The sequence below is a fragment of the Homo sapiens genome, chromosome 19 (genome assembly GCF_000001405.40).
Source record: "Homo sapiens chromosome 19, GRCh38.p14 Primary Assembly".
NCBI classification, from domain to species: domain Eukaryota; kingdom Metazoa; phylum Chordata; class Mammalia; order Primates; family Hominidae; genus Homo; species Homo sapiens.
In genome coordinates this window covers 56,381,440-56,403,912 of record NC_000019.10, presented here as the reverse complement: position 1 = coordinate 56,403,912, position 22,473 = coordinate 56,381,440, and the positions used below count along the sequence as shown (strand labels likewise).

General features: G+C 42.8%; 1 protein-coding gene, 1 long non-coding RNA gene and 1 pseudogene across 7 annotated transcripts, besides 2 other annotated features; 1 reads left to right on the top strand and 2 right to left on the bottom strand.

The window, feature by feature from the left end:
- Positions 18-157: an enhancer, noted in NCBI's record as "active region_15119". NCBI's record gives its function as "activates an Ori minimal core promoter by ATAC-STARR-seq in GM12878 lymphoblastoid cells {active_cell/tissue: GM12878}" and the evidence as "EXISTENCE:reporter gene assay evidence [ECO:0000049][PMID:35858748]".
- Positions 4,738-10,237, bottom strand: ZNF582-DT (ZNF582 divergent transcript). Of its 3 annotated transcripts, none has more exons than NR_037161.1 (4): positions 9,472-10,237; positions 5,865-6,032; positions 5,530-5,636; positions 4,743-5,019 (listed from the first exon to the last, which is right to left on the bottom strand). It is a non-coding gene; the product is annotated as a ZNF582 divergent transcript (long non-coding RNA). The 3 variants fall into 3 exon arrangements; NR_037159.1 differs by having other exon boundaries at positions 4,743-5,636; positions 9,472-9,696; positions 9,860-10,237; NR_037160.1 differs by having other exon boundaries at positions 4,738-6,032; positions 9,860-10,237.
- On the top strand, positions 10,379-21,162 carry ZNF582 (zinc finger protein 582). 4 transcript variants are annotated; one of them, XR_007066621.1, is made up of 6 exons: positions 10,379-10,471; positions 12,081-12,169; positions 13,412-13,538; positions 13,817-13,912; positions 18,729-20,133; positions 20,995-21,162. XR_007066621.1 is itself a non-coding variant. In NM_144690.3 (5 exons), exons 2-5 carry the CDS (start codon positions 12,161-12,163, stop codon positions 20,048-20,050), a joined length of 1,554 nt encoding a protein of 517 aa, NP_653291.1. In that variant the 5' UTR covers positions 10,379-10,471; positions 12,081-12,160; the 3' UTR covers positions 20,051-21,162. The 4 variants fall into 4 exon arrangements, 2 of the variants coding, with proteins under 2 accessions (NP_653291.1, NP_001307300.2); XR_430188.4 differs by having other exon boundaries at positions 10,379-10,693; NM_144690.3 differs by having other exon boundaries at positions 18,729-21,162.
- SLC25A36P1 (SLC25A36 pseudogene 1) lies at positions 17,223-17,687 on the bottom strand (annotated as a pseudogene).
- Positions 19,053-20,252: an enhancer, noted in NCBI's record as "BRD4-independent group 4 enhancer chr19:56895030-56896229 (GRCh37/hg19 assembly coordinates)". NCBI's record gives its function as "activates an origin of replication core promoter dependent on BRD2, P300/CBP, MED14 and CDK7 cofactors, and independent of BRD4, by STARR-seq in HCT116 cells {active_cell/tissue: HCT116}" and the evidence as "EXISTENCE:reporter gene assay evidence [ECO:0000049][PMID:35650434]".

Below are 22,473 nucleotides of genomic sequence, written 5' to 3'. Positions count from 1 at the left end.
CCCGGTAGGATGTACGTGTGATTAAGCGCTCTGGCGGCCCGGGCTTTCTCTTTCCCTTTCTGTTTCTTCTCTCTCCGCCTTGCCCTGTCTTTCATTCGCCACTTATTGAGCGCCTGCTGTATCGGGCACTGTCGTGGGCCCTGGGCACACAGCAGTGAACAAGCAGACAAAATCCCCACCTCATGGAGCAGCATTCTAATGCGGGAGGAATTCAATAGGAAAAAATTAATAATAAAGGACACTGATGCATATTGGGAAGTAATGCGTATTATCAAGAAAAGCGAAGCAGAGTATTAAGATCATTCTTTCAGTTCTTCATTCTTTCAGTTATGCCCTCTGAATCAGTGGAAAAAACGCAAGGTGCATTTTTTTCTATTATCTCAACGACAACTAATCATAACAGAAGACTTTTCTGACCAAATATAGGGGAGTTTCCCACACATCTCAAGCAAGCAATGAGTTCAGTGAGTTCTGCAGCGGGCACCAGCTGGGTGTCCTCCAGTTTAATTCCGACGCCGTCTACTTGGAGATGGGTCAGACACCATTCGCTGAGGGCTCAGTCCCCAAGCCTGCCTCCCCCTTCCCACTTCCCACTAAAGTCTAGCCTCTGGAACATCTGACTCCACCACCTTCAAATTGGGATTTTCACCACCCCCTCTTTGCGGTTCGATATTTTGCTAGAGTGGCTCACGGAACTCAGGAAACACTTATGTTTACTAGTTTATTATAAAGGATATTACAAATGATATAGATGAAGAGATGCGTAGGGCAAAGTACAGAAAAAAGGGTGTTGCACCTTCCAGTAACCTCCACATGTTCAGCTGGGTGGAAGCTCTCTAAACCCTGTCTTTTGGGAGTTTTACAGAGGCTTCATTACATAGGCATGGTTGATTAAAATCCCGTCCCCTCCTTAGGGTTGGGGGTGGGGTTGAATGTCCCAACCTTCTAGTCATGTCTTGGTCTTTCCATAACCAGTCCCCATCCTGAAACTCTATAGGGGTTGCCAGCTGTCAACTCATTAGCATACAAAATGAGTTTTTACTGTTACTTTGTAGTTTCTAAGGATTTTAGAAGTTCTATGCTAGGAAGATCAAATATATATTTCACAATATCATACTCTTATTCCTATTCTTCAATCTGTCTTTGAAAATATTTTATAAACTCCTATCTCTAGTTTATCTCCCAATCCTGTACCATCCCTTCCAAAATCCTGTTGTGCCCTTCAATTGCTTCATTTAATTGTCTGACCAAAGTTGCCAGTGACAAAGAGCATCATATAAGCTGGGAATTTTATTTGAGGAAATTAAACAAACGCAACTATGATATCAGCAAAAAATACTAACTGAAACTTTTTTTTGAGACGGAGTCTTGCTCTGTCACCCAGGCTGGAGTGCAGTGGCGCAATCTCAGCTCACTGCAAGCTCCACCTCCCAGGTTCATGCCATTCTCCTGCCTCAGCCTCCCGAGTAGCTGGGACTACAGGCACGTGCCACCACGCCTGGCTAATTTTTTTGTATTTTTAGTAGAGACGGGGTTTCACCTGTTAGCCAGGATGGTCTCAATCTCCTGACCTCCTGATCTGTCTGCCTCAGCCTCCCAAAGTGCTGGGATTACAGGCATGAGCCACCGAGCCCAGCTGAAACATTGTTTATAATAAAATGTTGAACATAAACAATATACCTACTGTCATGGGTAGCAACTAGATAGGGCTTGTATCAAAGGCGGTAAAGAAAACAGTCTCATATTTACCAGGACAGTCCTAAAGAAAGGCAGATTTATTAGAGAACGTATGAAAATACATTGCAAGGTTGCAACTGGCAGCACAGGAGAGAAGGAGCTGTCTGCAAAGAGGCAGGAGCTGGAAGGAAGTTTTATAGGGTCATCCTGGAGAGAGCTGTTGTTTGATTAGCCATTTCTCAGGACAACTGTTCATTGTACTTCCCCACTGGGGCCCCTTCCTCATTGTTGCTTACTTATCAGGACTCCACAGCTACAAGTAGAAGAATGGTCAAATAAATAACAGTATGTTGTAAACCAAAAGGTATTGGAGACAGGTCTCAATCGATTTGGAAAGTTTATTTTCCCATGGTTAGGGAAGCACTGACAGTCTCAGGACGTTCTGATGACATGTGCCCAAGGTGGTTGGGGTACAGCTTGCTTTTATACATCTTAGGGAGATATGAGACATCAATCACTATGTGTAAGATGTACAGTGGTTCAGTCAGGTAAGGTGGAAAAATCTGAGGTGGAGGCTTCCAGGTCATAAATAGATGTGGGACAAAAGGTTGCATTCTTTTGAGTTATTGATTAGCTTTCCACTGAATACACAATTTAGTCTGGCTCTGTGAATTTGCATTTTTACATAAACACTAGGTCCAAGGAAGCAATCAGATATGCATTTCTCTCAGGTGAGCCTCAGAGGGATGACTTTGAATTCTTTCTGTCCTTTGTCCAAAAGGAATTTCCTTGTGGGCAAATTGTGAGGGAGGTATGTAGCTTTTAATCTTTATAGCTATTGTATTTAGGAATCAAATGAGAGGCAGCCTTGCCTGACATAGTTCCCAGCTTGACTTTCCCTTGGCTTAGTGATTTTGGAGTCCTTAGATTTTTTTTTTTTTTTTGAGACAGAGTCTCGCCCTGTTGCCCAGGCTGGAGTGCAATGGTGTGATCTCTGCTCACTGCAGCCTCCGCCTCCCGGGTTCAAGCTATTCTCCTGCCTCAGCCTCCCGAGTAGAGTAGCTGGTATTACAGGTGCACACCACCACACCCACTTAATTTTTTTTTTTTAATCTTTAGTAGAGACGGGGTTTACCATGTTGGCCAGGCTGGTCTCGATCTCCTGACCTCGTGATCCACCCGCCTCGGCCTCCCAAAGTGCTGGAATCACAGGCATGAGCCACTGTGCCCAACCGGAGTCCTGGGATTTATTTTCCTTTCACATCTATCTGATTGAAAACTATACAACTTTTTAAACGAATAATTGCATGGCAATGAAGCAACATGTAAAAATACTTCTTGTATTAAGGTTTCTTAAAGGAGGAACAAAGCTGATAAAATTGCATTATGACTGCAACATTGGAAAACTGTTCCTAAAAAGTAAAAGGAACATAATCCACAAAAATTGTAGTTGGGTTGTGTTTGAGTGTTGAAATTGTTAGAAATAAATTTTCGGTGCCACAAAAGAAATAGCATTCGAACAGAAATTTTCTCAGCAAGGCAATTTTACTTCTACAGAAGGGTGCATCTTGTGGATGGAACAATGGTGAGAGCACACCTGAACAAGGGAGGGGAAGGGGTTCTTATCCCTGACACAGGTAGCCCCTACTGTTGCATCGTTCCCCTATTGGCTAGGGTTGGACTGCACAGTCTAAGCTAATTCCGATTGGCTATTTTAAAGACAGCAGGGGTTAAGAGCTACAGTGGTGGGGTGAGCAGTTGTGGCAGGAAAGACGGTTACGGAATAGGTGACTAAAGGTGACTTAGGTTAGAGCGGGTGACCAGGGGTCTCAGGATGGAGCAAGTGACCAGGAGAACAGATGTGAACTACTGATCAGAACTGGCAGGGAGGTTGTTTACTGAAACTAGGGGCAAGGAGATGAAGAGAATGAGGAAGTTAAACTTTAAAATGGAAAACAAAGAACTGAACATACTGACACAGATTCTTTGAGGAGAAACTTAGAACTCACTGTATTTAACAAAATTATGATTGATAGCTTCCCCTCACTTTTTCAAACCAGACAAGCCTTGTTTAAAATAAGGCATCAGTAAACGTCCAGGTTTTTGCAGTCTTTTCGACATTTCACAAATGTGTGAAGAGAGTAGGCATCTTTATGAAACCACCTTTGCAAAAACTGTATCAGTGAGAAAAATTATTATAGTAAACTGAGCTAACCCACCTATCTTGCCTTTCCCTTAATTATTCCTGGGCTATAGGGCTGAGCTAACTTTGGAAGACATTTACGCTATAGTTTAAATAACAGGCTTTGCCCAAAACTCAATTGTTTTTGTAAAGCTAATGGGAGGCCATCAGTCTGGGAGGAGAGGAGTCTGGGTCCTGCTAAGGTGGCAGCATTATTCAACTGTCAGCCATTATTCCAAAGGTTATAGGATATGCAACTTTCCCAATTACTACTACAAATGACATCACTACTGTAGAACCTCAGATTGGCCTTTTGAGATATCTTTTCAGGTTTTTTCATGTCTGACACCCATGGCTCCACCTGGACCTGATGGTTCCACTTGGACTAACCAACCCAGTTCCTGTGGCACCACCCAGAAGCAATTCACCCCACACAAGGAGAGCTTTGACCCCCTATGATTTCATCTCCAGCCCAACGAATCAGCAGCAAGCACCTGTTATCTGGCCACTCCCACCCCTTCCCCCAAAGTGACTTTGAAAAACCTCTAAGATAAGAGCTTTGGATTAGATGATTTGAGTACGAACTCCATTTCCCATGTGGCGTGGCCAGCCTCATGTCTATTAACCTCTTTCTCTACTACAATGCCATGGTCTTTCTTTATGCAGTGGGCAGGAAGAACCCCTTGGGCGGTGGTAACATTTTTTATTTTTAGCCGTTATCTCTTAAGCTTCTCCTTTTGGCACAACCTTCTACAAAGCTTGGTAAGAGTCACTAAGTAAACTTTGATTTGCTTAAAAACCACATTTATTCTTTGTTTCAGGTGAGCAGCAACTGTTTGGGCTGGTGGCACAGAGGTAAAAGAACTTACCAAGACAGCTGTGGGTGAAGAAAGGCAGATTTATTAAAGACAGTATCAAAGTATGTTATCAGGGAGCAACAGGCAGAATCAGTGGAAGAGGAGCTGACTGCAAGGAAACAAAGGCTTGCTGGAGATTTTATAGGATGGTTCCTGGGCTGATTGATAATGCCAAGGCAGCAGGGAGCTGACCTGCATTCTTCTGTCACCCGAGGTGTTTGATGATAAGTGGATGCGTGCGTTTGATGATAAGCAGGAAGTTTGTGAGTTACGTTCATTATTTGCTCGGCAGGGCTGTATGTCCTGGGTCATAAAGAAAAGCAAGCCTATAGCTTATCTGCTTCCTTTTTTTGTTTATATATCCTGGACCATGAAGAAAATGCAGATCTATAGCTTATTTGCTTTATCTCTTTGCTTTCCCCTGGTCCCACCAGCCTGACTCCTTTTCCCTACGTACGAATCCACATTCTTCCTAAACAGGTAATCAGCAGACGTATGTCTACCTAGCACACCCAAGTTTAACATAATTATCTAAATGCAAAATCTTGAGGAATAAAGATAAAAAACCCTCTAGCAGGCACAGCGGCTCATGCCTGTAATCCCAAGTGACATAGGAGTTAAAAAGAAATTATTTAGGCAGATAGTGAGGGTAAGGAAATCCCCGGTAAGGTTTTCCTTTTAATGAAAAGCAGCCCCCAAGTCATTTCTTTTCTAACAAACAGCAGCCTGAAAAATCAAGCTGCAGACATAGATAAGCAAGCTGGAAGTTTGCACGGGTGAATGCCAGCAGCTGTGCCAATAGGAAAAAGCTACCTGGGGGCCAGGCATGTCCAACATCGCAGCTCCATCTTCCCTTTTCTTTGTCAACCACGTGTACAGCAAGGAACATACAACATGGCCCGGTCAGACAGGGACTCCATCTGCATAATAAAAGATTAGGGTGGGGCAGCCAGCTTCTGATTGGCACACCTGGTCCAACCAATCTTTGGGGCCTACGTAAATCAGACACCACCTCCTGAAGCCAGTCTATAAACCCCGTGCCCTTCGCCACGGACTGGAAGTCCTACTTGGGAGCCCTTTTCTCTCTGCAGGAGCTAGAGCTATTCTCTTTTCTCTTTCGCCTATTAAACCTCCGCTCTTAAACTCACTTCTTGTGTGTCCACGTCCTTGATTCCCTTGGCGTGAGACAACGAACCTCAGGTATTTACCCCAGACAATGATGCAGCTTCACCATCATTTTGCAAGGCTGAAGCAAGACGATCACTTGAGCTCCGGAGTTCAAGACCAGCCTGGGCAATACAGTGAGGCTCCCATCTCTACAGAAAAAAAAAAAGAAAAGAAAAATTAGCTGGTGTGGTGGTACGCACCTGTGTTCTCAGCTACTTGGGAGGCTGAGGTAGGAGGATCGCTTAAGCCCAGGAAGTTGAGGCTGCAGTAAGCCGTTTGTGCCACTGTGGCAAGCCAGATCTCACAAAAACTGAACAGGCAGGCCTCCATAAGAACTGTTCTAGCATTGACTAAATGGTTAGGTTAAATATTAAAGGCTGAGAGAGCCAGCGCCCTAACACAAAGGCTGATGATTTGAAGCATGACAAAATAATGAAGGAATGGTCACACTCCTCATACCAGGATCCATTTAGGATTAAACAAGTTTTATTGGGGGTCTAAAGGAACTCTCCAGACCTCCATAACTTAGTAGGAGACAAGATAAGGTAATTACCTTTGGCACTTGGACCCATCTAGAGTAAGTAAAATCACTGAGGCTCCAGAGGAATGTCCCCAAGGTCTATAACTCAGACCTTAGTTATAGATTAGAAGAAATTAATCACTTGTGTCTTTAGATGAATGCACACTAACATGTAGACATATAGCTTAGAAGGTAGATAAGCACTGGAAAACTTTGTAATTTTGAGTTGGTCTGGCAATATTTTTCTGGCCCTCTCCCTGTACCCGGTTACAGAAATAAAACTCTCTTCTTTCACAGTTCATCAGCATCTTGTTATAGGGCTGCGAGAATAAGCAGCCTGACCTTCAGTTCAGTCCAGGAACACCACTGCACACCAGCTTGGGTGACAGAGTGAGACCTTGTCTCTTAAAAAAAAAAGTCCTCAGAGAGAGGCCACATGTATTTTGTCCTCAGTTGTCACAAGGAAGATGCAATACATTTATTTTTCTCCTGGATTAGTACTGCAGAAAAGCCTTTTATCCTTTTTCTTTTTTGGCTATGGATGTCCAGTTGCTCCAGCACTGTTTGTTGAAAAGGTTATACTTCCTCCGTGGAAATTTATTATTATTATAATGCACAGATTTTAGGTCAGAAAAATTGGGGGAGGTGCCCAAGGTCACTCAGGGAGTAAGTAGCTAAGATTGGGTTAGAACCCACTTTGTTGTGTGATTCCTTGCTTGGATTACTATGCACAACAGAATATGGCCCACCTCCCCACAGTTGATCTCATTCAAGTGATAATGGGTGATCCTGAAACAGAAGGAATCTGGCAGAAGCACGGATATGGCTGGGGATAACAGGAGAGGGAGCTGCTGGAGTAACTCTGTGGGCGGCAAGCCACCCAGGTGCCAAGGCAAGAGACCGAGGACACGAGCTGTTCCAGTATAATAAAATATAAAACAAGAATAGTTATACCAGATATAGATCTTAGATATGATTATATATGAATATCATTAATCATTAGTTGGTAGCAATTACTCTTTATTCCAAATTATAATAATCCTCACTCTATAATCATAACCTGGGAAAAGCCAGGCCATATAGAGATAGGAGCTGAGGAGACATAGTGAGAAGTGACCAGAAGACAAGAGTGCGAGCCTTCTGTTATGCCCAGACAGGGCCACCAGAGGGCTCCTTGGTCTAGCGGTGATGCCAGCATCTGGGAAGATGCCCGTTGCCAAGCGGACCGTGGTCTAGCAGTAGTGTTAGTGTCAAGGAAAAACACCTGCTACGTAGCGGACCGGGAAAGGGAGTCTCCCTTTCCCCGGGGGAGTTTAGAGAAGACTCTACTCCTCCACCACTTGTGGAGGGCCTCAGGCCCACCTGCAGTTATCCGGAGGCCTAACCGTCTCCCTGTGATGCTGTGCTTCAGTGGTCACGCTCCTAGTCCACCTTCATGTTCCATCCTGTACACCTGGCTCTGCCGTTTAGTTAGCAGTAGCAAACCAGTGAAAGTACTAAGTCTCTAATAAGTAGAAATAATGGTGTAAGCTCTCTCTCTCTTTCTCCTCTCTCTCTCTGCCTCGGCTGCCAGGCAGGAAAGGGCCCCCTGTCCAGTGGACATGTGACCCATGTGGCCTTACCTATCATTGGAGATGGCTCACACTCCTTATCCTGCCCCTTTGTCTTGTATCCAATAAATATCAGCGCAGCCTGGCATTCGGGGCCACTACCAGTCTCCGCGTCTTGGTGGTAGTGGTCCCCTGGGCCCAGCTGTCTTTTCTTTTATCTCTGTCTTGCGTCTTTATTTCTACAATCTCTCGTCTCCGCACACGGGGAGAAACCAACCGACCCTGTGGGGCTGGACCCTACAAACTCTGCATGTGCTTTGGCACAGGAATGTGTACTGGGAAGTGGCTGACAAAAGACCTATGGATTCCATGGAATGGAGAGGCTAGCTCAGAGCATTCTCATACTCTTAAAAGGAAGAAACTGGAAGCCACCCTCTAAGACGACCCTGAATGATCCCTGCCTCCTAGTACTTATACTCTTGTGTAGCCTCCACCTACTTAGACTCACAGCTGATTTTGTGACCAAGAGTATAATGGTGTATGACTTCAGAGGCTTGGTTCAGAGTCAGAAGTGGCCATTTCATCATCCTCTAAATTTCTCTTTGGCAGATTAATGAATGTGAGAAAGTAAAAATGGTATAGAAGAAAGTTAGCCTGAGAGATGGCTGGCTTTGTACCTGTTTGGTCTTTTTCCTTCCTTTCCTCCATAAGCAAATACTGACGCATGTACATATAGACACACTCAACACAGTGGGATGTTAAAGGGAAACTAGAGCCACTCGCCCCTTCCCAAGATCAGAGAACATAGGAAAGATGATGACTTTTTGCATCTACCCTCTCCTCTTGAACTCGCAACACTGTCTTGAACCACAAATAAGGTCAAGTAGGATAAATCTACAACTGTCTCCTCAACTGTCCGCTCACAAGTGTGAAATTCAACCATCCTTGCTGAAGTTGTCTTTTAATATCAGTAATCAGCAATAACCAACCTCTGAGCTTTGCTTATATTATTAAATCATTTTATTTGACCCTCAGGACAAAGCTGCAAGCCCAGCATTACATTCTTCCTTTTATGGACAAAAAAAAAAAAACAAAACAAAACCGAGATAGGCACGAAGAAACTAATAAATGGCTGAAATGCTATTTGAATCCACATCTGTCTAATTCTAAAAGTGTGCTTTCCACCACATCACCGCACCTACAAGGAAAATGCAGCCTCTACCCTCTCCTGAAGAATGTGTAAAGAGGCAATATGGTGTGTTTTGGAAAAAGCATCTTTGCAGAAAGAAAGCATTAGCTTCAGTCATATTAGCATCCTTATCCAGCAGCAGTAGCATTATTTTACATATCAGTTACTCCTCCCCAACAACTCAATGAATTAGATGCCACAATCATCCTCACTTTCAAATGTGGAGACCGAGGCACATCTCTAAGACTGGAGTTCAGGCATTCTGGCTCCAGTCTTAGAGATGGTTAAGGGTTCACACTCTTAACCATTTATTACACCATAGAGCTCACCAGGTTTGAGGGAAACAGGATCAAATCAAAAGAGTCACTCAGGACTCCAGTCCTCACTCAAGGACAAACTGTTCCACCTCGGACAGGGAGAGTTTCCGCATTCTGAGACCCAGCATAACAGGTCCTGACCGGCATCTGGCACTCGGACTCCCAATCATACTGGATCACACTGGCTCGGGATGTGTAAAGTCCAGGGCTTCTCACATTTGATGACACCAAAGCCGCCTAAAAACAAGAGAGAATTAACAACTACCTACGGCGGTCTGATATTTGCCCAAGAGATGCCGCCCCATAAAACTCCTTTACATCTTTATAACGTTTTTATTTTGCGTTCTCCTTCATAACCCACATTTAACTCACCATAGATGTAATGTTTAAAATTAGTTACCAGATAAACTCTTACGCTTCCAAACTTTAAGGTTCCTTCGAAACCTTCTGGTAAAACTGTTGTTCCACGGAAATGGGAACGTAACGGATGAGGCAATCTTCCACAGCCGCACACAGTTGTGTATCCACCGCTAAACGGTCCCAGTCATACATTCAACGACCCACGCGGAGTCAGAAGCTACCACCACACACTGTCAAAATCACGCACACACAGTGACGGCCCCTTGCCCACTCGGTCACTCGCCCACAATCTCTCGCTAGAGAATCACACGCAGATAGCACACCCAGCACCACAGACCCCAGGAAGCAACCCAGGGACTCGAACACACGAACAGCACTCCTCCGCGCACTGCGCAGGCACGCCTGCGTCCGGCTCACCCTGAAACATCGCGAGATCCGGCTTCAAGGCCGGGCTGCTGCCTTTACGCCTAAAGACTATGTTTCCCGGAAGACACTGCGGCGCCGGCCCTATCATGGCGCAGCATCGGTGTGCTTTGTGCGTCTGCGCCATCTTCCGGCTGCGCACGGCGAATCCACCGGTACCGTGGTGGAAGCGCGCCCTGGGCTGCCGGGGGCGCGGCCGCGGTGGCACTTGGACCCGAGGAGGCGGCAGGTGAGAGGTTCCGGAGCTTTCCAGGCGCTCTGGGGTCCAGCAGGAGCTGGTGCCCGGGCCGGTTGGGTCTCAGGCCTGAGAAGAACGCAGACGTCTCGCCTCATCGTCGCTCTGTGGCTTTACCGGCGTGAGACTACATTTCCCGCCGGCCCTCGCGGCGTGCGCTTTCTGGCGCCCCCTTTCTGCTTCCAGCCTCATAGCCCAGGTGCATGGACCCCTTAGGTGGGTGCGCAGGGGTCTCCGACCCCCTGAAATTGCGGATGTTTTGCATTCACTGTTATGCGTGCCTTTTTTTTTTTTTAATCTGAGAGGAAATCTTGTTTCATGAGGTTCTCAGAGAGTTACAAGACCCCAGAAGACTTAGAACCGCTAGTTTAGAAAAACTTATACTTGGGAACATTTTATATGTTCAAATTCTATGTCCAGCAATGGGGAAACACTTGAGTGGATCACAGGCCATCCTTTGTAAATAGGATATCGTGCAGTTAATACAAATAATGCTTATAAAAGTGGTCATAATAAGGAAAAGCTGCCTATTACATCATATTAAGCAACATTCATAATTATTTCACTTACACGTTACTTAGAACCAAATGTTTGTAATGCAGTAGGCACCTTATATACTCCTTTACAGAGTACTTCTTGTTTAACAGTGAGCTCAAGAACTGGTTAAATGACAACACTGCGAATACTTGGGTGTTTTTTCTTCCAATTTTTTTGTTTTGTTTTGTTTTTAGCCTGTGTGTTAGTGAGTTTGACTTCTTTTTGCTGAATGTTCTCAAAGGATTCAGTAGTTAATATCTTTGCTTGTCAGTTTTTGATAGTCATTTTTGATAGTCACTTGGCATCCCATTATATGGCTGTGCCAAAAATGATTCAACCTCTTGGCTACTTGTGGACTTGCCTACTTACGTACTAATTTTCAGTTCTCCTATTTAGCAAATATTATTGGACATGCAGCTTTGTGCACTGCTGTGTCTCTATGGAAGGACACATTTATGTGCTGATAATGGAGCACTGGGCGTGCTGTGTGTAATTTGTCTCTTACTGTTCCTTCCAACTCTATCCCATTTGTTGATGCAAGGCATGCTCCATGAAGTGGCATGCACAAAGCCTCAGTTTGGGCTGTAGAGCTTTTTGTATATTTGGCGGTTGGGAAAAGAGCCAGGTAGACTTTCAAAGGTGTTATATTTGCTGCAGGAGAGAGTTAAATGGCCTAGTCCTGGAAAGGCTTTATTCTAGGCTGGGGCTATGCAAATGATGCAGGCCTTCTATGCTCCCTGGCTTGAGGGAAGCCCTCCTTGTCCTTGAGGTAACATGTGGGTCTCAGTCACTAGAACAGCCCTCAGCATCCCTGTCTTAGACTTGCATTTGCAGCAAAACAGAACCACTGGATGTTTAGGGGAAATGGGAGGGAAAGGACCACTGGTTCCCCTTTGCCTTGCAGCAGCTAAAGCTGGTTTCCTGGGGTTGGGTGAGGATCCCTTTGCCTCCCCCTCCTTCTCATTTTCTTGGTGGGCAGAGGGCAAGCAGGTGGGGACTTGTAACTTGGCATTCTAGGAACTGTGAGGCAAGCCTAGCCTCTCATGTTTGCTCTTTCCTCCCCCAGCTCTACCGTCGCAGGACTCTGCCCTTCCCCAAGAGAGGAACCAGAAGGAGGACCTATCAGCCCTTGAAATTCTAAAAGTCATGTCCCTTGTGAGTTTTTAAATCCCATAAATATTTGCTTTCCTTATCTTGAAACTTTCCACCTGGGTTCCATCCAGAAATTTGGTTCTCAGACTTTCCCATTTTAGGGAATAAAAGGACCAGGCAGGAGTCTCCTCTCCCATTGTCCTCTCCCCTCTGACAAATGCCCACAGATTTATTCTCTATAGCATTCTGCATCTCCTGATGGTTTTCGTCTGCTAGGAGGAGAAACTCATTTCCCTGTATGAAATGAGAGCATCCTTTGTAAGAACTGAAGTTTGAAGAGATGGAATGAATGCTTAGGAGCAATCACATATAGAAAAGCAGGGGAGGTGGTGTTGGTTGGTTTCAGTTTCAGCGCATGGTACAGTGTCCTGCTTTGGGAATGATTAATGATTGGATATGTAATTGAGGTTTGGCTGGGAATCCATCAAAAATTTGATGCCAGAATTAAAGTCTAGTTTGACGTTGGACAGAGCATTTGAATCTGGGACATCCTCCATTAGTTTCTTTAGCTTAAGAGGAAGAAAAGTACAGAGCTGAGGATGGTGAGCGATGTAGCAAGTGAGATGATCATCTAGGTGGGTGAGTGGTCAGGGCTTGGAAAAGCCTTAGAGATCTGATCCAACCTCGGGATCCAAAATAAGAGGATGTTTGAGTCAGTTGTTTCACTTGATAGAAAATTGTGCACTCAATAAAAGTTATCTCCATGGTTTTTCCCATGAAGAAAAATGCTTGTGTTATGTTCCAACATAATGATGAACTTTCATCTCCAAGAAATTCTTGACTTACATGAAAATCCTGTATCTAAGATAGAAAACATGTTTCCATAATTTTAAAAAATAAAATATTTGGGGAAAATCCATCAGAAATATTTTTTGTTGTTATTGTTATTCCAAAAGATAGAAGTGATAGGTCTCACCTTGAGAATTTATTGTATGCCAAGTATAGAGTGGGCAGTGTGCTTTATTACACTGTTTCTTAACAATAAGGAAAACTCCATTTAGCTTGATTTTAATTTTCATCCCAGACCTGTACACAGAGCATTGATTTGCAGTTAAAAGGAATGTTTGAGAACAATTTGATCATTCTGTTTTACTCATCCCCATTTCTTCTGTCACCTTTCACATTCAGTCCCACCCTTCTTGTTCAACAAAACAACCCCCCCTCCCGCAAAGACCTGCCCCATCTCCTTTCATCCCACTGTGAACCATTGAAATACATATATATCATACATGCCTGTCATTCCAGGGGTCAGAATTGTTCAGGGATGTGGCCATAGTCTTCTCCCAAGAAGAATGGCAGTGGTTGGCACCTGCTCAGAGGGATTTGTACAGAGACGTGATGTTGGAGACCTACAGCAACCTGGTCTCACTGGGTAAGGTGATCTCGTCTGTTAGTTTGGAGGTTATCCTTGGGCATGTTCCTTCCTGGTCAGTTTTTGGGTGCTTTTCAGTCTTATGATTGGTTGGTCATTTTTGAGGGGTTAAAGGGCGGCGCTGTCGGCTGAAGCTGCATCCCCCTACCCCCAGGCAACTGTCCCATCTTCCTCTGGCACTTCCTGCAACTGCCTCTCCTGCTTGATGACCAGGTCCTGGATCTGAATTCTGGGGCCCCCACACCATAACCAGGTGGCATGTTTCTTCTCATCTCCAGGTCTTGCCGTTTCCAAACCTGATGTGATCTCCTTCCTAGAGCAAGGCAAAGAGCCCTGGATGGTGGAGAGAGTGGTGTCTGGAGGCCTGTGTCCAGGTGAGTGAGGTATCATTGGGAAGGGAGCAGCCACTGCAGGTATCAGGTCCGCTGGAAGTGGCCCTTTGTCTTAGAAGATCTTCCCTGCAGGTTGCTACCTTCAAAGCTTATGTCTTACGTGTTGTTTTCCTCAGCTCGTCAGCAGCATTTGACAAAGGTGGCTGCTCCTTCCTCCTGAAACACTTTAAAAATTCAACCTGGATTATAGGGCTAGACTGAGTACAAATATGGTGGTTCCTAAGGAAAGTATTTTGTCTTTGGAAAGATGTCTGTATCTTTTGACCATTTTTCTTTTTTTATTAATTTTAATTTTAATATTTAAAATTTTTTTTAACTTCAGGAGTATAAGTGCAGGTTTGTTAAATAGGTAAACTTGTGTCATGGGGGTTTGTTTACAGATTATTTCATCACCCAGGTATTAAGCCTAGTACTCATTAGTTACTGTTCCTGATTCTCTCCCTCCGCCCAACCTTCCATTCTCTGAAAGGCCCATGTGTGTTGTCCCGCTCTGTGTGTCCATGTGTCCTCATTTAGCTCCCACTTATAAGTGAGAACATGCAGTATTTGGTTTTCCGTTCCTGTGTTAGTTTGCTTAGGATAATGGCTTCCAGCTCCATCCATGTCCCTGCAAAGGACATGATCTTGTCCTTTGACCATTTTTCTAAAGGAATTTGTATCGGTTTGTTTGAATTCTGGAGTCAGTTAACAAGTACTTATTAAGCTTTTATTATGCACCATGGAATATGCCACAGTATACATTGATGAGGCAGGTGGACATTATCCTTGCTTTCATGGAACTTACACTGCAGTGGGAAAATAGACATGAAATCATACACACTGGACATGAGCTAATATGTGAAAGAAAAAGAACAGGTTCAGTCAGGGTGCATGGTAGGGCCAATGGCCTCTTCAAGGATAAGGCATTTCAGCTGAGACATGGAAGGTGTGATGTAGCTGGGGAATACCAGTTGTAGCCAATGAGTGTGAAGGACCTGAGCAGGGAGCCCTTGGTACCTCTGAGATAATGGATGGCCCTTGTGGCTGAGGTCAGTGAGCAAAGGGAGGAACACAGAGATACACTAGGGGCCGGGCATGGTGGCTCATGCTTATAATCCCAGCACTTTGGGAGGCTGAGGCGGCCAAATCACTTGACCAGTCTGGCCAACATGGTGAAACCTCGTCCCGACTAAAATCACAAAAATTAGCCGGGTGTGGTGGCACGTGCCTATAATCCCAGCTACTTGGGAGGCTGAAGCAGGAGAATCGCTTGAACACGGGAGGCGGAGATTGCAGTGATCCGAGATCGAACCACTGCGCTCCAGCTGGGGCAACAGAGAGAGACTCTGTCTCAAAAAGAAAAAAAAAGATACGCTAGGAAAGGCAACCACGTTATGAAGTTTGGGTTCTGCACTGTGGGCAGAGGGAAAGCACTGTAGAAATAGAGGCAAGCCATGATTTTATGGTCCACCTGGAGAGGATATAAATATTGTGCTTCTCACAAATTATTCACCTGCTAGTTTCAGAAGTCATTGATAGTTTTCTCTTGGATCAGATATGATTAATAGTTACAAAATAGTGATTTTTAAAAAAACTTTATTCTTATTTATTAGATCACATACTCCTGTAAAGAAGAGCTTTCTCCCTTTCACCATTTGTTTCTTCATTTATATCATATGGATTAATAGTAGGTGGCATATTTTTTCTCATTTCCAGGTCAGAATAAAATAAATCTTGTTTTATCCTGTAACAGATTATTACCCATTATCATTATTTATCACAACGTTCATAGTTTTCCAGACTTGCCCAGTGACACCCTTTCAAACTGGCTCCTGGGTTCTTTGGACATAATCCCCCCCCCCTTTTTTTATAAGCACGTTTTTAACTTTTTTAGTTTCAACAATTCAGTAAAAGCTAGTTAACATAAATACAGAAGAAGTCCACACAATTGACATCCGTGTACATAAATGCAAGAATGCCAAACCTCACATGAACCAAAAAGTATCAGCTCTTACAATGTTGACTATTTAGCTATGACTAGTAGGTCATAAATCTTCGCATAAGCAAGGGTACACATTCAAATGTTTTTTAAAACTAAGAATAAAACAATTTTATGTTTCTAAAAGGAGAAGCATAAAAGTCAATCTGTCGAAGAACATAAGGATGTGATAGAAAAGAGATTTGCGTGGGCACAAAGTTAATACACTGTGTTAATACTTTTACATATTAAAATCCCTCTGCAGCCAGGCGTAATAACTCATGCCTGTAGTCCCAGCTACTCAGAAGGCTGACAGAGGAGAATCACCTGAGCCTAGGAGTTTGAGGTTGTAGTATAATATGATTGTGCCTCTGCACTCCAGCCTGGGCAACAGAATGAGACCCCATCTCCCCTGCAAAAAAGAAAGAGAAAGAGAAATACTTTGGAGGCAAACTTTATATAGAACGTTTGTATATAGTTTTTTTTTAAGTCATCAGTGTCATACTTAAACTAAAATGCAGATTGTGTTTTTGTCTCCAAACTGATTGTAATACTTTTGAGTCCAATCAAAACACCTCAGAAACATCCAGTTACTGTTGATTACAATAAATGTGACATGCTGACAGAATTTAAGAAGGTACAGTTTTTCACTGGTGAGAGCAGTAAAAGCTTGGTAATTTTCAATAATGTTGGGATCACTACAGTGAATAGATCTGCAGAACAACATATCTAAAACCCAGACAAATGTTAGGAATACTGGTTCTGTTGAATAAATGACCAATGTTTTTATAGAAATACGTAACATAGAATTCCCTCCTGCTCTTTCACCCTCAATAAATGCTATAAAGTGCATTCACAAAGAGCCATATTAAGATAAAGCTACTGCACAAAATACAGCACTCATATATACTGAAATGAGTAGTATCACACTGGAGTTTAATTGTGCACATTTTATATACCAGTATAGCAACATCCTTAGCCAGAAGTCTCAACAGAATTATCATGAACATAAACGTTTAAGGGTTATATACATATATCAATTTAAAGTATGAAAAGGTGCATTTGAACTTCATGGCAACATTTAAAAATGATATCCTTGTTAGCACATCACCTTGAATCTATGATGTATGATTCAGCAAATTAGGACAGAATCAAATTCTCAGCAAAAAGTACTTTGAGGCTGGGGATGGTGGCTCACGCCTGTAATCCCAGCACTTTGGGAGGCCAAGGCAGGCGGATTGCTTGAGCCCAGGAGTTTGAGACCAGCCTGGGCAATATGGCGAAACCCCATCTTTACAAAAAAGCACAAAAATTAGCTGAGCATGGTGGTGCCCACCTGTAGTCAAGCTATATCTGAGTCTCTTTAAGTCAACTGGGGTTGGTTGCTATAAGTACAGTAAAACCTGCCACTGTAGCTGAAATAATGTACCAGGTAGAATCACAGTCCATTATAGCATTCAGCTTTTTCATGCAGTTTGAATAATCAGCAAAGTATGTTGCTCTAGAAGGACCCACCCTCAATCAACTGGCCTAATCCTCTAAACAAGGAAAAAAGCCCTTCTTTTTCCAAGGTCACCTTTAAGAAATGAAAAGGTTCAGGTAAATGCATGACATTTAAGAAATTTAAGAAATGTCATTCAGTTGATAATGGGCTTCAGCCATGGCGTTCAACTAAACTTCAGATATAAAAAACACCATGGTGTTCAGCTAAACTTCAGATATAAAAAGCTTCACAGAGGAAGACAGCAGCCATGTCATTCTAACTTCTAGCGGACACATGAGAATAGCTGCCACTGTACCAGCATATTCCTCTGGTTCATTCTCCTGCATGTCCTCCAGGCACTGAGGCAGGTTGCAGATCCAACCACACACTTCCAACACCACTTTTATTTTTATTTTTTAAAACTGTGGTAAAATACAAGATTTACCGTGCTCACCATTTTCAAGTGTACAGTTCAGTAGTGTTAAGTACATTCACACTGTTGTACAACCATCATCACCGTCCATCTCCGGAACTCTTTTCATCTTGAAATCCCCATCATCTTTTTAAAATTCACTCTTTTGGGGGCATAATTTATGGTCAATAAAATGCATTTTTAAAATGTGCTATTAATGAGTGTTGACAAATTTATACACCCACATAACCATCACCTCAATCAAGATAGCGAACATTTCCATCAACCCAAAAAGTTCCCTTGTGCTCCCTCCTGCACAGTCCGTCAAACCAATGATTTGCTTTGGTTTCTGTCACTCTATATTTGTCTTTTCTAGAGTCTCACAGAAACATTTACTGTCTTAAAAAATATTGTTCAATAGTGATTCTGACCCACACCAACTCTTTTTTTTTTTTTTTTAAAGTCTCCCTCTGTCACCCAAGTTGGAGTGCATTGGCGTGATCATAGCTCTCTACAGCCTCTAACTCCTGGGCTTAAGCAGTCTTCTTTTCTCAGCTGGGACTACAGGCATGTGCCACTGCAGCTGGCTAATTTTTAAAAATTATTTTGTAGACATGGGGTCTTGCTGTGTTGCTGAAGCTGGTCTCAAACTCCTGGCCTCAAGTGATTCTCCCTTCTTGGCTTCCCAAAGCACTGGGATTACAGGCATGAGCCACCATGCCCAGCCCCACACTAACATTTTAGAATCACTTTTATAACCTCTCTTATTGCCTCCCTCATCTCATGTATGTTATTTTCCTTTCACTGTTCTACTTGTCCATTTTATAATTGCTTAGCTACATTCAAGAGTTAATAGGCATTGAGTCTAAACCCTCCAGTTCTTATTTTAGTTCCTTTATCTGGAAAAAAAAAGAAGCCAAACATATTCGCTTTTTTTCATTCTTAGTATTGGAGTCCAGATATGATACCAAGGAATTATTTCCAAAGCAGCATGTTTATGAAGTCGAATCACCCCAATGGGAGATAATGGAAAGCCTTACAAGTTATGGTCTTGAGTGTTCAAGTTTCCAAGATGATTGGGAATGCAGAAACCAGTTTGACAGACAACAGGGAAATCCAGACAGACATTTCCATCAGATGATCATCAGACATGAAGAAATGCCCACTTTTGACCAGCATGCATCCCTTACTTTTTATCAGAAAATTCATACTAGAGAAAAACCTTTTGGGTATAATAAATGTAGAAAAGACTTCTGGCAAAAGGAACTCCTTATTAATCATCAAGGAATTTATACTAATGAGAAACCCTATAAATGTAAGGAATGTGGGAAGGCCTTTAAATATGGCTCACGACTAATTCAACATGAGAATATTCATTCTGGTAAGAAACCATATGAATGTAAGGAATGTGGAAAGGCCTTCAATTCTGGTTCAAATTTTATACAACATCAGAGAGTTCATACTGGTGAGAAACCGTATGAATGTAAAGATTGTGAGAAGGCCTTTAGTCGAAGCTCACAGTTGATTGAACATCAGCGAACTCACACAGGCGAGAAACCCTATCAGTGTAAGGAATGTGGCAAGGCCTTCAATCGGATCTCACATCTTAAAGTACATTATAGAATTCATACTGGTGAAAAACCCTATGCATGCAAGGAATGTGGGAAAACCTTTAGTCATCGTTCTCAGTTGATTCAACATCAGACTGTTCATACTGGCAGGAAACTCTATGAATGTAAGGAATGTGGGAAGGCTTTTAATCAAGGCTCAACTCTTATACGACATCAGAGAATTCATACCGGTGAGAAACCCTATGAGTGCAAAGTATGTGGAAAGGCCTTTAGAGTGAGCTCACAACTCAAGCAACATCAGAGAATTCACACTGGAGAGAAACCCTACCAATGTAAGGTATGTGGTAGGGCCTTCAAACGGGTCTCACATCTTACTGTACATTACAGAATTCATACAGGTGAAAAGCCATATGAATGTAAGGAATGTGGGAAGGCTTTTAGTCATTGCTCACAATTGATTCATCATCAGGTTATTCACACTGAGAAAAAGCCCTATGAATATAAGGAATGTGAGAAGACCTTGAGTCATGATTCAACTACCGTTCAACCTCAGAGAATGCATAATAGAGAAACACATGTGAATATAATAAATGTAGAAAAGCCTTCCATCAGCAGTTACCCCTTACTAATCATCAGAGAATTTATGTTGGCAAGCAACCATATGAATGGAAGTAATGGGGAAAGCCCATTAGCCTAGGCTAATTGTGACTGTGACTTACTTCTCCCTCTTGGAGAAAGACTTGAAGAATGTAATGCCAGTGACAATGCCTTCATTCAGAGGTAAGCCTTTATCCTAAGTCTGAAAATTCATATCAAAGAAAATTTTATGGATGTAAATTGTTCAGATCATAATTGTCAAAAATGCTGGGAAAGGTTGGGAGAAATTTTATTTCTAACACATTCCAGAACCACATTTTCTAACCACAGTGTAGTAATTTTATCAAGAGCAAAAGTTATAGTTTTCTTACAAGTTAAAAAAACAGCCAGATTATCATTTGCTTAACAAAGAAATCATGCAATTACCATAAATGGTAATGAAAAGAATGAATTGAGAGTTTAACATGCCAAGAGATGTGAAATGTGGCCAAAGAGATGTGAGGGTAAGGGGAAAGCCAAAGCTACACTGGAGGAATTTTTATAGCCTTTGAATGCATGCATATACATGAAAATCTGAAAGATAAACTCATATGCACTAAACATGCTATTCAAGTCTACCAAACATCCAGGCAGTGAAAGAAGAAAGTAACAGAAAATGATGAAATAAAGAGACCATCTTACAATAATCTCAGTTTTTGTTTCTTTCTGATCCAGAAATAATCTAAATTTAGGAGAATATTTCTTAATTTCCACATTGTTACATTGTTTTATGTGACTGGCACAGACAACCATTGGTTGTCATCCCAGCAGCCATACCCAATTCCCCTTGTTATTGGCAGCATCTGTGTCTTGCCTTGGACTCTGAGAATATCAGATGCTAATTTTCCAGTCTCCTGTGCAGCACAGTATGGCCAGTATCTCCCAGTGTTGCTCAGTGGAATCTGCCGGGGCTTCTGGGAAAGATTTTCCTCATTCAGAAGAGACAGGTTTATCATGAAGACTTCCTCCTCTCTCACTTCCTGCTTTTAAACATTTTTATATAAGAACATGATGCCTGAAGCTGCTGCAGCTGTCTTGGAACCAAGAAGAGAAAAAAGTGGACCTCAGAGAAGCTGACCCAGAGCCTGAGAAGACTCAGCTACTAGGCCAATTCTGGAACTGCCTTTTTGATGCCTTGTTATCTGAGAAAAATAAAACTTGATTGCTCAGTTAGTTTTAGTTGGATATTTTGTAAATTCGCAGCCAAAAGCATCCTAAGTGATATAATATCTAATTTAATTTTATTATGGTTGGTAAATGTGGCCTGAAGTTATCTACTTTTTGAATTTTACTCTTTTTTTGGAGATGGAGTCTCGCTCTGTCACCAGGCTGCAGTGCAGTGGCACAACCTCTGCCTCCCGGGTTCAAGCGATTCTCCTGCCCCAGTCTCCCCAGTAGCTGGGACTACAGGTGCACGCTACCATGCCCAGCTAATTTTTGTGTTTTTAGTAGAGATGAGGTTTCACCATGTTGGCCAGGATGGTCTGGATTTCCTGACCTTTGTGATCCACCCGCCTCGGCCTCCCAGCACTTCCTATAAGTGCTGGGATTACAGGCATGAGCCGCTGTGCCACCCAGTTTGACTGTGTGTGTGTGTGTGTGTGTGGTTAAATACAAGATTGATTTCTGTATACCATGAACATTGAAAAAATATGTATTCTGCATTTTTGGATACAAGTTTCTAAATAAGTCCATTAAGCCACTAGATTGCAATAGTAAAAATCTCCATGTTTTCATATAATTTGGTATGCTGGATCAGAATTTCCTAAAAAAATGTTGCCAACACCTTGAGTTTCCAGACATTTACGCTTTTTAATTTATATTGTTTGACTTACAGGGACATACTACTAACCCTCTATTTATGAATTATACCTTTATCTTTACATAATATCCCATTTTGCCTAGTGCAGGGTATAAAAACCAAATCCAGCCCGCTACCTGCTTTATAAAGTCTGAGTGACACATTGCATTTATGGTCTACGACTGCTTTGGTTTCACTACAGCAGAGCTGAGTAGTTGCCACAGAGACTATATGGCCACAACACCTATATTTACTGTCTGGTTTTTTTGTTTTGTTTTTTGAGATGGCATCTCAAACTGGAGTGCAGTGGCACAGCCATGGCTCACTGAAGCCTCAACCTCCCATTCAAGCAGTCCTCCTACCTCAGCTTCCTGAACAGCTGGGACCACAGGCATGTGCCACCACGCTAGGCTAATTTTTAAAAAATTATTTTGTAGATACAGGGTTTTCTTATGTTGCCCAGGATGGTCTCAAACTCCTGGACTCAAGCAATTCTCCCACTTTGGCCTCACAAAGTCCTGGGATTACAGGTGTGAGCCAATGCACCTTGCCTTCTCTGTTTTTTAGTTAAGTTTGGGCCAGGCACTATGACTCCTGCCTGTAATTCCAACACTCAGAGGCTGAGGCAGGAGGATCACTTGATATCATGAATTCTAGACCAGCCTGGGCAACAAAGGGAGACC

Coding starts and splice junctions, on each gene's coding strand:
- ZNF582 (NM_144690.3), top strand. Junction 13,539..13,816: donor CAGCAACCTGGTCTCACTGG/GTAAGGTGATCT, acceptor TCTCATCTCCAG/GTCTTGCCGTTTCCAAACCT. Junction 13,913..18,728: donor GTCTGGAGGCCTGTGTCCAG/GTGAGTGAGGTA, acceptor TTTCATTCTTAG/TATTGGAGTCCAGATATGAT.